Below are 13,906 nucleotides of genomic sequence, written 5' to 3'. Positions count from 1 at the left end.
GTCCCAGCACCAAACTTTGAGAGCCACTGCATTAAACCAAGGAACAATCCCACCTGGGAGTTATCTAATCTCTAGTATCTGAGTAATTCTTTTCCTCTACTATGAAACACTGAATTAGTTTAACATGAATGAGATTTCTTCCACATGAAAAGCTTGCAAACACTTAATTGGGTATTTTCCATAAAACGTTTGTTGGTACTGATCCAGAACCCCGAAACCTTCATGTGTGTCTCTCTCATGGCTGTTCAGGGACCTGCCATGCTGAAATACAATAGTGGTCCACAATCCTCCTTCGAAGTTCTAGAAAGTCCCAGTAGGTGAATTTTATTGTGGTGTTTGCCCTTCCGAATCTGTTCGCATCATTGCATTTTATGCTGCTCCCTATTCCCAAGAACACTAAGTCTCATTAAAGCAGGAAAACATTGCAATTGAAACCACCAAAGAAGCCAAGGGTATCCATGAGACACTGATATTTGTCTTCTCCCTCTTTTTCTGATGTTTACTGTATCTAACTTACAACAGGGAATAAATGCAAACAAATTCTTACTAAGAGAAACAATAAGTTGGGAAGAAAATCAAGTGGGACAGAAGGCACAGAGTCATGAGTTAGGCTGGCATTCTGTGCAGCAGAATAGAAAGGGATGGGTCCTCCTAGAGATGTCTATGACAGGACATGTATTGTGCAAGAAAGTGTACAGGACCAGACCAGGAATCAGAGAGATCAATCAACAAAGCTGCTCCCAGATCACTAGAGGGTTTCAATTATAATGGGACCAGGAAGAATTAAATAACTTCTAGAAATCTGCTGTACAACATTGTACCTATAGTCAACAATACTATATTGCACTAAAAAAAATTTGTTAAGAGGGTGGATCTCATGTTAACTGTTCTTGCCAACATAAAATAAAGTTTATATATATATATACACACACATTTTTTAAAAAGGATGAGGTCAGGCACAGTGGCTCATGCCTATAATCCCAGCACTTCGGGAGGCCAAGGCAGGCGGATTACCTGAGGTCAGAAGTTCGAGACCAGCCTGGCCAACATGGTGAAACCCCATCTCTACTAAAAATATAAAAATTAGCTGGGCGTGGTGGCACACGCCTGTAATCCCAGCTACTCGGGAGGCTTAGGCAGGAGAATAGCTTGAACCAGGGAGGCGGAGGTTGCAGTGAGCCGAGATCACACTACTGCACTCCAGCCTGCTGACAGAGCGAGACTCCGTCTCAAAAAATAAATAAATAAAATAAAATAAAATAAATAAATTTTCTCTGATAAATTAATACCTTCAGATGTTTCCATTGAATTCAATCCTTCTGATGAGTTAGATTTTGGTTATTGTGACTCATAACAAAAATGAAGTTGACACTGTACAACACAATGGTAACTAAAATGATAATTATTCCTAGAACATATGTAAGCAGTCTTTCATACAGACTGTCTTCTGGCTATGAGTTGTTTGTGTACTTATTTGGTTGTGCTTTCTTTTGAGGAAGGAGAGAATTCACTGGAAATAACGGAACTTCTTGTTTCTCTGTATGTACTTGTTTTTGAAATTGAAGTTTTAAGGAGAAATGGGTTACTATTGTTTTAGAGACCTGTTCTAGTGAACATAGACAACTTCTAGAAATCACCCCTTGCGCAGTTCCTTTCACAGCCCTCCCTCACCCTGACCCATCCAACTTGATCTGTGTGTTAGGACCAGGCCCCAATTTTCAAAACAAAGAGTCTCCTTACCCCTGCAATGGCTAATCCCAAACTTTCTTGTTCTGTGATGATTTTTATACCCACCTCAGACCCCATAGAGTGAATGTTTGTTTGTGTGGGAATGTGTTATCTTTACCCATTGAAAAACCTAAACTCTATCTTGGACTAATTCTAGGTTATTGTCACCTTGTCTTCTTATCTTCTCAGAATGTGAACAATTCCTCCCCTATCTATATGGTTACCTTGAATACATTTATAGAGTGAGACTGTGTTTCCCCTGAGCTTTCTTCTTTGTACCTGATGATTGCCTGGCTAGAGGGAGGTGGACGGAAGGAATCATGCATTCTTCATCCTTTAAAAAGTAAAGCAACTCAGATTTAAGATGTCACACTGTTTTATTGGAAAGTATAAAAAGAACTGTTTTACGATGTCATTACAATGCCACGGTGCAAGGGCTGGCTCTAAAAAATACTTCTGCCTTGGGAGACCAAATAGTTTAAGACAGAAGCTATCAAATGATCTCATGCTAAAGTGTTTATCTGTCAATCGAGAATAGAATTGATTTCTCTAATGGGAAGTCTTGTCATGCATTTATTGAATATTGAAATCACCACTGTGGAAATTAATACTGAGGGGAAAATTCATTTGATAATCTAGTTAAGGACACATGTTCCAGACTGAAGAAAGTTTAATCTCAACAGTCAGATAAAGACAAAAAACATTATTGGAAAACTTTATCTCTATCCTAAGGGTCTAGCTGCCCCAAAATGCATAAAATTAATAAAATGTTTTATTTACTTTGTTTTAACTTAATAATTATTCTCTTGGATGAACCAATCAAAAATCCAAACAGATAACAAAACTCTAAGTTCCAAATAGTGTTTATCTAAATGAAAGACATTTTCGGAGTAATATGTATAATTAACATAGTTTTCTTTCTTCTTTTAATACTTTGCTGTCAATAGTTAGAAATGTGATTAAGACTACATTCAAACTGGATCACTGTTACAAACTCTCCAATGGTTTCTATTGCATTTAGAACAGCATTCATCCTTCTACCATGAAAGTTTTTTGCATTATATGGATCCATATCAAGTTCCAGGTCAGAGCATTTGCACATGCTGTTGCCTTTGCCTGGAATGCTTCTCTTCTCCATTCTTCACTGAGATTGGCACTTTTTTCTATCTGGATTCTCTATCTAGGACCTTTATGAATTTATTCATAGCTTTTAAATCTCACAATTATTTTATTTTATGTTTTTTTATCTGTTTGTTTGTTTGTTTGTTTGAGATGGAGTCTCGCTCTGTCGCCCAGGCTGGAGTGCAGTGGCACAATCTCGGCTCACTGCAACCTCTGCCTCCCAGGTTCAAGCAATTCTCTGCCTCAGTCTCCCGAGTAGCTAGGATTACAGGTATCCACCACCACACCCGGCTAATTTTTGTATTTTTTAGTAGAGACAGGGTTTCACCATCCAGGCTGGTCTTGAACTCCTGACCTCATGACCCACCTGCCTTGGCTTCCCAAAGTGCTGGGATTACAGGCATGAGCCACTGTGACTGTCTATTTTATTTTATATTTGCTTTTTGGTGTGTCACCCTATGACTCAGAATTTAACCTGCACAAGGACAGAAATTCAATGTGTTCCCTATTATTTCAGTGCCACGTTGGATAGCCTCTGATTCATTGAAAGCAACCAAAATATACTACATAATTGAATGAATGAAAGGTTTTAGGGAAACTTTGTAAAAGTGCATCTCATTCTTTTCCTAAGTATATAAACTTAAGATAAATTTGTAAAATTATGTGTTCAAGTAAGTATTCAACTTCTATCCACAGCACAAACGACCATATATCACTCTTTTCTACAAAATAAAGATGCAAACTGATTAATTATCTCTTCTCCTCCCCCTTCTTGGAGCATCAGGTAATATTATGAAATTTTATGAAGGGAAACAACCACTTCACGAGCATGTGATAGGTATTTACATATACACTTCATTCCATACATGAGCTTTTTAAAAGGGTCTGTCCCGTAATAGGTGGTTTTGTCTAACGCCAGGTATTTGGATTGTGATCCTTACAATGGGAACTAGATAAGAGTAGAAAGGACGCTGTGCAAGTCAATCCTTAATGCTAGCAGCCCAAAGGAAGGGTGTTTCCTTATTGATATGATAGGGAGCCAAGAATTACCCTAAGACATATCAGATGTGTAATTAGAAATTTTATCTTTAGAAATCTTCAATTCGATCTTCTAAGCTTCAAGTGCTATTGTACTTCAGGAAAGTACTTCACTGAAGCAAGAGTGTTTGTACATATTTTGAAAAAGATTTACCTTACACTTGTAGACTCTATTTCTGACTCTAGACTAGATACTTAAGCAGAATTACTTTAATAACAAGTACCCAGTTAGATAGATAATTTCTTAATAAATTGCAATTAAGATTATAGTACATGTGATTTAAATATATTATAATACTTAAATTGAGATAAGTAAGCCAAATTAGTTCGTTTCCACCAACTCACACCTTCAGTCTCCCATCTAGGTAACCACTGTTATCCCTGTGATGTATGTCCTTCAAGACATTCTGTAGCATTTGTGAATGCGCTCATCATCCTATGCTGAGTTTGCTTTCTTTATCTTAATGCAATATTTGTTGGTATTTTTAGATTGTTTTTTCATATCATAATATACCTTGCAAATCACTATGTGACAGATGTCATGTTTTTGAACCCTTCCTAACATCACATAAAATTGTCATAACGATATTGTTGTTCCTTAATTACTTTCTCATTCCCTAACGCTGGACATACAGGCTAATATCATAGAGAATAATGGCAGTGTCAAAAAGTAAGCACATTTAAAATTTAATAAATACTATCAAATTCCCCTTCATAGTAACCATACCAATTAATATCCCCCACTAGGATTCCATATATCTGACATACACTTTTACCCACACTTGATATTGACAATGTATTTTTAAATTATCACTCTGATGAAAAAAATATTTTAACTAGTTTCTGTGATAAAATGTATGTGATGGTTAGTTTTATGTGTCAACTTGACTGGGTCACAGAATGCCCACGTAATCTGGTTAAACATTATTTCCAAGTGTGTCTATAAGGGTGCTTTGGAAGAGATGAGCATTTGAATCGGTGGACTGAATAAAACAGATGGCCCTCTCCAATGTGGGGCCCAAATAAAACTAAAAAACAGAAGAAGGTTGAATTCATCTCTCTCTCTTTCTTTCTTTCTCTCTCTCTCTCCTTCTCTCTTTTTACTCACTCTCTTCTCTCTCTCTCTCACTGCATGAGTTGAGACATCATTCTTCTGCTACCCTTGGACTGGAACTTATACTAACAATGCTTGTGCTTTTCAGGCCTTCAAACTTGGCCTGCAACAAACATCACTGGCTTTTCCAGATCTCCAGCTTGCAGATAACGGATTGTGGGATTTCTCCGCCTCCACAGTCACATGAACCTGTTCCTTTATAATAAAATGTATATATATATTTACATTGGTTCTGTATCTCTGGAGAACCCTAATGAATACATGACTGAAATTTGCATATATGTTTATTGAAGTTTGGTGTTTCATCTTTTGTGAATTGTCCTTTTCCTATCCTTGTCCATCTTTATTGGATTAATATGCTTCTTAAATATTTCAAATGTTTATCTTTGGAAATCCTGGGTATTACTCTTTCATCTGTTACACAGAGTAAAAAACGTTTTTTCCTGTGTTGTCATTTATATTTAACACTGTTGGACTGCTTATTTATATATTATTCATTTTAATGGAATCAAATTTACCACTGACACTTCTCATGAAACGCCATGTAAAATTCTTTTTGAAATCTGTTAGATATTTTACTGGGAGCACATTGAATTTATACATTAACTTAGAGAAATGTAATATATTTTAAAAATACTGAACGTTTCATTCAGGCAAAATGGCATAGTTTTGGTTTGCTTGGTATGTTTTTATGTCTTCAAAAAATTTTTTAATCATATATTTATGTGACATTGTGTAATATCAAAAAAATTCATAAGTGCAATATATGAATATAGCCAAATGCAGAATGGTTACATTTTTTTCTCCAAGAGGCTACAATTCTCATTTCCGGTAAAATTAGACATGAACTTTACATACAGAAAAACAGATTGGTAATTAGCTTCACAATTTTACCCCAAAAGTGACTTATAGTTTCATTTTTCTCTAATCTTTTATAAAATCTAAAAAAGCAGGTAAAGGAAAGCTTTAATCTTTGGTTCCTACCATTTGAAAGATGCAATAATCTATTGCAGCAGAGCCAATATATGGAAAGATGCCTATATTAAACATTATTTCATAAATGAAGCAGTAATGAGAATCTTTTCACTAAAGAGGTTATTACGCAGGAGTAATACTTTTTTTAGAAATTCAAAATGATAAAATATTGCTGTAAAAACCTGTAGGTGCACTTTATTCATATAAGCTTTCCTTTTAATGAGTGTGGTTTTTAATCAATAAAGTCTCAAAAGATAGAGGCAACTGCGTCAGACTAAATTACTTTATGTATGTTACAATGAATGGAATATTGGAATTGTAATTATCCTATAAATGTCAAATTATTTAAAAATAGGGAAATGTATTCTGAATTAAAATAATCCAAGTACTTTGGTTTTGTAATATTATGTAAACAACCAAATGTCTAAAACATAATTGTAAACAGGTAGAGTTGTAGAGTAAAATGTGTGTTTGCATTAACATTGAAGATATTTGCTTAATTTTTAAAAATGGAAAGAAATATAGAAAAGGTATATAGAACTGTTACTTTCTAAGTTCACAGAACTCTATAAGATTTAAGGCATCTTAATTTCTAAAAAAATAACAAATGCAATGATAATTCTTTTGGTCATGCAATTAAATCCATCATTATGGATACAATTGCTGCAAATTGGTCAAGCTATCTAACACTGATATACAAGATGGCATGGTGGCAGTTAATAGGCAACTAGTGGTCAATAATGGTCTTTCAGGATCTTCTATGTCCTAGTATTTTGTTATTTTCTCAGTTGTTCAATAGTTCTGTTGTTACAGTACTGAGCTGAGCTCTCTCTCCTTTTCTTTTTTCTGTCTCTCAGTTTACTTTTTCATCCTCAAACGTACTACGTTTTTCCTCCAATTCTCTGTGCTATATATCCAAATTAGTTGTTCTTTACTTATGAATACTGTTGGAGCTCAGCTTCAGAGTCCTTTTTCTGAAATTTTTCTCTGACCCTTATCTCACATACAGATTACATTTTCACGTTCATCTTCTTTCTTCTTTCCATGTGCTTCCTTTCTTCTGTGGCCATTTTTGAGAAAAGAATTTTAAGAAATTGCTATATATCCTTTCTGGTCTCCTGCCCATTTTATTTTATAGTTGTCAGTTTTCTGTTGTTCTCAGTGGTACATCATATTAGTGACATCCTTCAAATACTACATGTATGTTCTCAAAAACAGAAATTAAGTGGTAAAAAAATTCACACAATATGATTTTCAACCTCGGCAACACTCCAAAAATGCTGCTCTCCCGTGTCCATTTGTCATTAAATTTATTTATATTACTATATGTTAGAGGCATATATCTTTAAAACTAGAGGATTAAATAATGATAAAACAGCTGATAATCTTACTGAAGATCCTTAGTACATGATGAGTCACATTTATTTTACTATTTTCCATAGTCTGTCTTTGTTTCTGGCTTTTGACAGTTTGATTGTGATATGTTCAGGTATGAATCTATTCTTACCAAGATTTAGCAACTTTTTCTTAAATAAACCTCTTCTGATTATATAATGGAAAACATTAATAAAAACTTAACTGATCATTGTAAAATGCTAGAGCTGTAGAAGGGTTATATGAGAGTTTGTGAGGTCCCAAGAATCTATAGCCAGACTTCTTGGTGAAGGTCTTAACCTGAATGAAGCTAGTCTGTAAAAACTAAGAGAGGTGGCTATTTTCTCAAATGCATAAATAACAGCCAACAAAATAAATAAAATAACAAGGCACACACACAAAAGAAAGAAAAAAACAGAAACAAGGCACAAGCAATGCAATAAATTAAATCTCCAGAAACCAACCAAAAAAGAAATGGAGATCTATGAATTGCCTGACAAGGAATCCAAAATAATAATCTTAAAGAAGCTCAGTGAGCTTCAAGAGAACACAAGGAGACAACTAAATAAAATAAGGAAACAGATTCATAAACAAAATGAGAATATCAACAGATATAGAAACTATAAAAAAGAACCAAACAGAAAGTCTGTAGATAAAGAGTACAATAAACTGAATTGGAAAATTCACTAGAGGATTTCAACAGCAGACATGATCAAGTGGAAGAATCAGCAAACTTGAAGACAGATCATTTGAAATTATTAGGTAATCAAGTAAAAGTAATTCAGAAAAAAAGTAATAATCAAGAAAAGTGAAGAAAACCTTGGAGACTTATGGGATATCATAAAGTGGACCAATATATGTATTATGGAAGTATAGGAGAAAAGAAAGAAAGGTGAATAGAAAATTTAAGAAATAGCAGCCAAAATTTTCCCAAATCTGAGGAAGGAAATGGACATTTAAGCTCAAGAATAGCAAAGGACACAAAATAGGATAAACACAAAGTGACCCACACTGAGACATATAATCAAACTGTCAAAAGTCAAAGACAAAGAGAGAATCATGAAAGCAGTAAGAGAAAAGTGACCCATCACATATAAGGGAGCTCCCATAAAATTATCAGCAGATTTCACAGCAGAAACATTAGAGATCAGAAGAATAGGGGATAACAGTCAAAGTGCTGAAAGCAAAAACTTCCCAAGAATACTATATCTGGAAAAATTCTCCTTCAAAATGAAGGTGAAATAAAGGTCATCCTGGACAAACAAAAGCTGAAGCAGTTCATCACCCTCACACATGCCTTACAAGAATTGTTAAAGGAAGTGCTTCAAGTTGAAACAAAGGAATAGGAGACAATAACCAAAAAGCATATGAAATACAAAGCACTTTGGTAAAGATAAATATATAGACAAATGCAAAATCCTACAGTCCTTTAATAATGGTGAAGAAATTACTTTTAATTCTGGTACAGAATTTAAAACCCTTTATCTTTAAAAAATATAATGATAAAATTTTATTGATAGATTCAAAATATAAAAGATGTAATTTTGTCATCAATAACAAAGTGGTGGGGGAGCATCTGAAGAAGCAAATTTTGTATGTGATTGAAGTTAAGTTGCTACAGTTTAAAATAGATGGTTATATCTATAAGATGTTTTATATAATCCCCATGGTAACCACAAATAAAATACCTATATATTATGCACAAAAGAAAACTTTAAAAGAATTAAAGCATGCTACTACAAAATATCAATGAAATAAAAAGAAAGGCGGCAATTCAGAAAAAAAGAAAGAAAACAACTTCAAGACAGAAAACAATTAACAAAATGACAACAGCAAGTCATTCCCTTTAACAAATGGTCCTGGGTATATTGTATATCTACATGCAAAAAAATACAGTTTAACCTTCACCTTATACCACATATGAAACTTAACTCACAATGGAAAACCTAGAATTACAAAACTCTTAGAAGAAAACATAGGGAAAAAGCTTATAGCAATGATATCTTGGATATAATACCAAAAGCACAGGTAACAAAAACAGAAATAGGCAAATAGGACTACATCAAACTTAAACATTTCTGCACAAGGAGTCAATAGACACATGAAAAAATGATTATCATCACTGGCCATCAGAGAAATGCAAGTCAAAACCACAATGAGATACCATCTCACACCAGTTAGAATGGCGATCATTCAAAAGTCAGGAAACCACAGGTGCTGGAGAGGATATAGAGAAATAGGAACGCTTTTACACTGTTGGTAGGACTGTAAACTAGTTCAACCATTGTGGAAGTCAGTGTGGCGATTCCTCAGGGATCTAGAACTAGAAATACCATTTGACCCAGCCATCCCATTACTGGGTATATACCCAAAGGATTATAAATCATGCTGCTATAAAGACACATGCACACATATGTTTATTGCAGCACTATTCACAATAGCAAAGACTTGGAACCAACCCAAATGTCCATCAATGATAGACTGGATTAAGAAAATGTGGCACATATACACTATGGAATACTATGCAGCCATAAAAAAGGATGAGTTCATGTCCTTTGTAGGGACATGGATGAAGCTGGAAACCATCATTCTAAGCAAACTATCTCAATGACAGAAAATCAAACACTGCATATTCTCACTCATAGGTGGGAATTGAACAATGAGAACACTTGGACACAAGGTGGGGAACATCACACACCAGGGCCTGTTGTGGGGCGGGGGGAGAGGGGAGGGATAACATTAGGAGAAATACCTAATGTAAATGACAAGTTAATGGGTGCAGCACACCAACATGGCACATGTATACATATGTAACAAACCTGCATGTTGTGCACATGTACCCTAGAACTTAAAGTATAATAAAAAATAAATAAATAAATACACCTTTCTAATCTAAAAAAAAATCTACACAAGGAAACGGTCAACAGAGTGAGAAGGCAACCTATGGAATGGGAGAAAATACTTTTCAAAACATATATCTGATAAGGTGTTAATATCCAGAGTTATAAAGGACTCCTGCAATTCAATAGCAGAAAACAAATACCTAATTTTAAAATGGGCAAAGGACTTGAATAGACATTTCTACAAAGAAGATATACAAATGGCCAACAAGCATGTAAAAAGATGCTCAACGTCACTAATCACTGCGGAAATGCAAATCAAAACCACATGAGAAAGCACCTCACACCATTAAAATATCACTAACAAAAAAATAAATAACAGAAAATAACTAGTGTTGGTGAGGATGTGAAGAAATTAGAACTTCTGTGCACTGCTGGTGGGAATTTAAAATGATGCAGCCATCATAGAAAATAAAGCATGGAGCTTCCTCAAAAAATTAAAAATAGAATTCCCATATGATCTGATCCAGTAATTTCACTTCTGGGTATACATTCAAAAGAATTCAAAACAGGATCGTGAAGAGATTTCCACACCTATGTTTATTGCAGCTTTATTCACAATAGCCAAGGGATGGAAGCAACCTAAATGCCTACTGATAGATGAATGAATAAAGAACATGTGGGGTGTGTGTTTGTGTGTGTGTGTGTGTGTGTGTGTATTTCATATATATGTATGTATGTACACAGTGGAATACTATTCAGCCGTAAGAAAGAAGAAAATCTAGTCATGTGCTACGACATGGAAGAAACTTGAGGACGTTATGTAAGTGAAATAACCCACTCACAAAAAAGACAAAACTACACAATTCAACTTAAATGAGGTATCTAAAGTAGTCACACTTTTAGAAAATAGAAAGTTGATTGTCAGGACCGAGCATGTGGCCAGGTCAGGGCCGGAGGGAGTTGTTAAATGGTTGTATAGTTTCAGTTTTTCAAGACCAAAAAGTTCTAGAGGGCTGTTGTACAACCATATGCATATAGTTAACACTACTGATCTGTACATTTAAAAATAGTTAAGGCGGAACATCACCTTATGTATAAATATAGGCAAAGTGATCCCCAAGTACAATCTAGAATATAATGCCCTGAACATTAGAAATTCAGCTTATTTTAATTACCACTAATTCTTGATAAATTAAAAGTCTTGTTGTGCTATTTTAATTCTGTCAAATTTATTATTATAAATTTGATCAATTTCAATAATTAAATGTTAAGTTTTCTTTAAAAAAGAAAAAAAGCATTTGAGCTGTAGACCAGAGAAATGGTGCTGCAGGTGCAGCTGCCTGGTGCAACCTATGGATATTTCATGAATTCAGCAGCATGTCTATTTGGCTGATACTACTGAACTGCTCAATATACACCAGTCAGCATCACTTTCACAAACCAGAATGACATCTTCAACAATGGCTGTAATGCCAAAGAGGTCAGGTTTAGTAAATTCTATGCACTTATTTACTTAGAATCCATGGTTTGTGACTCTATGGAATAGTATTAAAAACAAAAAGGTAAAGGAGACTGGCTGAACCAAATTTCATCATGACAAATGGTTATCCTTATAATCTGTAAATATTAATCCTAAATATGCTGGTATGATAATAATAAGAAGAATAGAAATAGATGTCTTTCTGTTATCAACCAATAAGAAGCTCTATGTTATTTAAGCCTTCTGATTGTTGTTCCATTAAAAATATTAATAAATAGTATGTTCTCCTAATGTTTGCTGAATTCAACCACTATAGTAAACCCAAGATTATTCCTAGGACGCCAGTTACGCTTTATCACTTTATTTTATATGCATCTAAACCATTGTCATTAGAATGGTTTTACTTTCAGTCAGAATTACAGCGAGAATAACAATTAATACTCCCCTTTTGTGACAATACAGATCACCCACACACACCCCTTCGTGGCAACTAAGACATTTAAGATTATTTTGCCTCAAGGAGAGAAAATACAACCCAAATGTGTCCAGTAATAAAGGGAATTTATTGACTCATGTAACCCAAAGTGAATGGACATGGTAGGCATAGGACATGATTTGAACAGAGTTTGGAGACCTTTGGTTCTATTTATCTCCAGTTCTCTTTCTTTTGACCTCTCCCTGTGCTAACTTCTTCCCAGCACTAGTTTTCTTCATGGTAGCCTTTATAGCCAACACACTGCACCATTTAGAAAAGTGCCTCTGGACCAGCATTTTGAAAAGAGTCATGAGATTCACCATGACTGGATTTTCTTGAGCCCTATTTTTACTTCTTTATCAAGCTCTGTGTCCAGGGAATAGAACAGAGGATGCGGTCAGCTTCCCCAGAAACAGATAAAATGTTTTGGAGGCCACTGTAGACAATCTAGAAAGAAACTCTGGGTACTCTTAGAAAAGAGAGGGGTGGTTATATAGACAACAAATACACACTATGGCATCCCATGGGTGCTTTAAAAATAGTAAGAGCAGAGGGAAAACTACCATTCACATAGCAGCTGAGACCTCCGAGTCTGGCAAGATCTTTCCAATGGAGAGTCAAGAAATTCTTTCTCTCATGGAACCTGCTAGATGCAGAATGATGGATGAGTGGGAAGGGAATCTTGTTACATAACTCCTATGTACCTGGGTACTTGTCATGCATTTTAAACTTAGTATTTTTTAAACTCCAGGAAGATATTATTATCACCCCCTCCACTCAAATTATTGAAGATAAATAAAGAAGTTTAAAGGGCTGGCCACATGATTTGGTAAGGGCAAAGCTGAACTACTTTAAAGCCAGGCCCTTTGATACCTGGAGGGTGGTGAATTAAAAGAAAGACAAAACAAAATCCAGTGGCCCAAGTTCCTAGCTATTAATGAATGGCAGGCACAGCCCTCTTGTCAGGGGTCATATCACAGGTAATCTGTCTCAGTCTCAAAAGGAAGAACTCAGTTCTGATGTAGGTAAAGGGAGAAGATGACTTTGGGGTCATTTTACTTGCTGTGAGTCCAGATTACTAGCACTGCTCCTGGGTATCAGGAGTTGGCTAGACCCTCTTCCCGTTAAAGCTGCCCTGAAAGAAAATACATGAAAGCATCACTGGGCAACGTATAATTTATGGTATCCTGAGAGAATATTCACAGAAAAGAACCTAAGATCCCCTTAGGTATTTCTCCAATTCCCCTTCTCAACCGAGGGTCCACAAGTCCTCCTCTCCCCTCTTTCCCCTTCTGAGCCTGGTCTCATCTGCTCCACCTGGCTTCCTCTAGGCTTTCCTCACTGAAAGCCTGTTTTTGTTTGTTTCTTCTTGTTGTTGTTTGCCATCATTCATGCAAAATGGCATCCCTCCACATGGGAGACGTGAGTATGGGTGGTTCTCAGCCCTGAAGACTCAGCCTCTGCCTCCAAGAATTTTTGCTGAGGTTTCTTCATACCTAGAAGCAGCTCTCCAACAAAGAACTCATTCCAGTGGTCAAGAAAACAAAACTGACTCCATAACATTGCTTTCAATCTGTGTTCCCTAAAGAGAAGCTTTACAAAAAAAAAAAGAGTGACCTTAAAAAAAGAGGTGGGGAGTAACTTGAATGTGAAGGAGGGCTATAGCAATTATTGAAAATCAATCCACTCTCCTAGACCATAATAAAGACTTAAAAATAAAACTAAACATCTCAAAACCTGTGTAAGACAGAAAAGTT

Source organism: Homo sapiens, chromosome 16, assembly GCF_000001405.40.
Source record: "Homo sapiens chromosome 16, GRCh38.p14 Primary Assembly".
NCBI classification, from domain to species: domain Eukaryota; kingdom Metazoa; phylum Chordata; class Mammalia; order Primates; family Hominidae; genus Homo; species Homo sapiens.
Note: the sequence above shows the minus strand (reverse complement) of the source record.